We start from the raw sequence: 3,869 nt of genomic DNA on the forward strand, positions 1-3,869 counted from the left end.
TGAGGTCAGGAGTTTGAGACCAGCCTGGCCAACATGGTGAAGCCCTGTCTCTACTAAAAATACAAAAATTAGCCAGGCGTGGTGGTGCATGCCTGTAATCTCAGCTACTCGGGAGGCTGAGACAGAAGAATCACTTGAGCCTGGGAGGCAGAGGTTGCAGTGAGCCAAGATTGCGCTGCTGCACTCCAGCGTGGGTGACTGAGACAAGACTCCTTCTCAAAAAAAAAAAAAAGTTACAGTAGGAAAAAGCAGGAGATAAAGAAATTAAGTGTTAGTGTTAGAAAATAAAATGTTAAGGACATGAAAAAAAGTATTTTGATCAAGAAGGAAAACTGGTCTTGTCAACATAATCAGGAGGAAATATCTATTATTTATCAATTGTCATTTTCTCTTCTCTGCTTCTTAGGAGGACATTTTGCCCCTACTGATGCAACTGTTGCTGTGGTTGAGTCAGACAAACATAAAAGACTGTGACAGGACCCTGAGAAGTTCAAAGACAAGGCTCTCTTCTCAGTAAAAAGGGAGATCAGTTGATAACCTCCTTGAAATCTGCTTAGTTTTTAGGGAAGAAAGGAGAGAGGGAGAGACACTGGTGAAAAACTGGCTTCCTAAATTTTTTTAAATTATAAAATATCTTGGAATTCTTCAGTCTTTTCTCTATAAAGTATATTTATTGGGTCTATATTAAAAACTTGTAACTACTAGTTCTTTATTGGGAGGCAAATTAAAACAATTATAAGGAAGAGTTTAATAAATCATCATTCAGTGATCCAAACTGGTCCTCTGTCTAGAGATTATGGTGACAGATTATAAACAGCCTTGGAAGTCAGGCAGGGAGGGTTAGATCCCAGGCAACTAGAAGCCAATTTTTGATCAGAGATGTGACAAGAGAGATATTTGTGGCATTGAATGCCCTGGAGAGGGGAATGATGACCTAGTAGGTAATTCAGGCAGAAAATATCAAGAACATTGACTTGAGTTTTAGTCCTTGGAAGGGAGAAAATACCAGAGATGTTTGAAAGGAAAATAAATCAACACAACTTGACAAGGATAATCCATGAGGTGTTCTGAGCTGATAACAAATTATACAGTGAGAATTCCAGTCTTCTCCTTGATACTCAATTATTTTTATATTTAGTAAAGTCTAATCAATAGGAATTTTAGAGAAAAAAGCAACATAATGTAATATGTGCCTGAGACGTGAAAGATAATGGAGGTGAAAAGAGGTTTATAAACTAAACAAATGGGCAAAAACTTCAGGGTTTGTTTTATTTTATTTTTTGTTTTACATTCTAATTGGTAGTGGAGTGTTTAACCATACTGAAACCTAAGGAGGCCTTATATCTGGTTCTATTCTTAGCCTGAAAAATGGAGAGAAATGAGTCTAAAATGTCTCCAAGAAAGCTGAAGAAATCATCAGGGGAGAAAGGAAGAGAAGGAAGGGAAGGAAAGGAAGGGAAGGAAATCATTAGCTTTCCTGGAGACATTTTGGACTCATTGTAAAGTATCTTGAGTGGAAAGTGTAAGACATGGTACACTAGATCACTCAGAAGATGAGCTGGTTTAGATGGGAAAACAATAACCTGACTTTAAGAAAGTGGTGAGAAATATACGAGCAGCAATTACCAGATCAGTACGGAGACAATGGAAAATACAGAGCTGGAATTTCAGTTAGCCATTAGGATAGGAAATTCTGATTGTTGTGTCATTGGCATAAAAGCAATATTTAAAGCAATGAGAAAAAATCCAAAGTCAATTGAAAACTTGCCTTAAGTATCTTTTCCTCAATATTGGAGACGAGATGAGTGTGGTGATGCATGCCTGTTGACTCAGCTACTCAAGAAGATGAGTAGCTTGAGCCCCGGAGTTTGAGGCTGCAGCGAGCTATGATTAGGCCTGTGAATAGCCACTGCACTCCAGCTAGGCAACATAGCAAAAAGCCATCTAAAAAAAATACACACGCGCACACACACTGGAGAGGAAGGGGAGTGGAAGACATGTAAAAGAGACAGAGACCTCAGCATAGGGCAGTGACAAAGTCCCTGTCTGTCCCAGCAGACCACAAGATACTGGCTGGTCTGGGTAGCTACAGTTGAGATTGGGAATTTTTTTGTTTTTAGATGAGGTCTCTCTCTGTTGCCCAGGCTGGAGCGCAGTGGCGTGATCTCCGCTCATTGCAACCTCCGCCTCCGAGGTTCAAGCGATTCTCCTGCCTCAGCCTCCTGAATAGCTGGGATTATAGGCGCGTGCCACCACACCTGGCTAATTTTTTTATTTTTAGTACAGACAGAGTTTCACCATGTTGGTCAGGCTGGTCTCAAACTCCTTACCTCATGATCTGCCTGCCTCGGCCTCCCAAAGTGCTGGGACTACAGGCGTGAGTCACCGAGCCCGGCCTGTAGTTGGGATTTTAAGCAAATTATTTAACAGCCTTATAACTGGGAATTCACCTAATTGATCTAATTGATCTCTGAATTTACTGTGGCTATTAAATGAAATAATATATACAATAGTGATTGAAATTTTAAAACTGTCAAGTATTTACACCTACAATCAAAATGTAAATCAAATTCCAACTGTAGCCTTAATGGAAGAATGTCACATTTTCATCACTCCCTACATTCTCAGCCATGAGTCCCCTCCATCCCAGGAATCCTTACAGTTTTCTCACAGTGGCACTGTGAAGGGCTGTACCTTCTTATCTCTGATCTCATCTCTCAGCCACATCTCACATCTGGATTCTCTTTCCAACTGTAACATTCTCTCCCTTTCTCTACACCCTACTTTACCTACATTCCAAAAAGCTTCACTCTGCTCTAAGCAACACTCACACTTTTGCCCCAGGAAAGGTAGAGGTAAGTTTTTGGCACAACTTAACCATTTATGTTTTTATTCAGTTGTCCAAAAATATGTTTTGTGATGACAATATTCTGGATAAAGTTACTAAGGATGTTTCCAGATTCAAGAATCTGACCTGTCAGATTCTGTTTGTGTGTGTGTGTGTTTCTTTGAATGCTAATTCCCACCTTGCAGATGTAGCCCTAAATACTTCTCTTACAACAGATAAAGTTTAATATTTAATATATTTCAGACAATTTTTAGTGTATCTTGATCATTTTTGTAACCTTCACAAAAACTAGAAACATCCCATAAAATTCTTAACTTTATCTGAGGCAGTATGATATAGTCAGGGAAACAGCGTCACAGCTTTGGAATTATCAAGAGCTGGACTGAGAACCCAGTCCAGACCACTCTCATGAGCAGCATAAACTTGAGCATGTTATGTTATGCCTCAGGGATTTGATTTACAAAGAAAATGGGAGTAATGGTTTCTATTTTATAAGATTACTGTAGGGATTCAAATATGTAATGGAGGCAAATCACTGTATGCCAGTGCCTGGTATAAAGTAGGTACTTAATAAATATCTGCTGAGCAAATGAAATCCTTCCCAGTCATCTCATCACAAAACCTAATAGAGTGTTGAAGGCACTGAAAAGTCCGTCAGACTGGAGGGGCCCTTACTAAAGTTCTACTTTAGCAGTAGCTTAATAAAAACTTTCTATTTATTGATTGCAACAAGTTATTTCTAAGAGTTTAATACATCTTTTTCTAAAAGTGCATTGTTATTTGGAATAAAGATAAGTGTTTGATTTTATGCTTTAATTTCTAGAACCATAGATTAGTTCAAATAGCTCATTTCAGCCACTGTTTAAGTCTCCTTTTTAATATCAGAAAGTATTTATGACTAAGGAAGCAATGAAAAATTGCCCCTTGTATGGTCCCTATACTCATCATGCTGAAGATTCAACTTTTTCTATGTGAATGTTTTACCTCCACTTCTGGTCCGCCAGTTAAGAACAATGAGAAA

The 3,869-nt window shown here is 38.7% G+C and overlaps 1 annotated feature.

Annotated features, from left to right (window-relative positions):
- Positions 332-626: an enhancer, noted in NCBI's record as "tiled region #13716; HepG2 Activating non-DNase unmatched - State 24:Quies, and K562 Activating DNase matched - State 24:Quies". NCBI's record gives its function as "activates a minimal TATA promoter and a strong SV40 promoter by Sharpr-MPRA in HepG2 and K562 cells {active_cell/tissue: HepG2 | K562}" and the evidence as "EXISTENCE:reporter gene assay evidence [ECO:0000049][PMID:27701403]".

Source organism: Homo sapiens, chromosome 6 (assembly GCF_000001405.40).
Source record: "Homo sapiens chromosome 6, GRCh38.p14 Primary Assembly".
NCBI classification, from domain to species: Eukaryota; Metazoa; Chordata; class Mammalia; order Primates; family Hominidae; genus Homo; species Homo sapiens.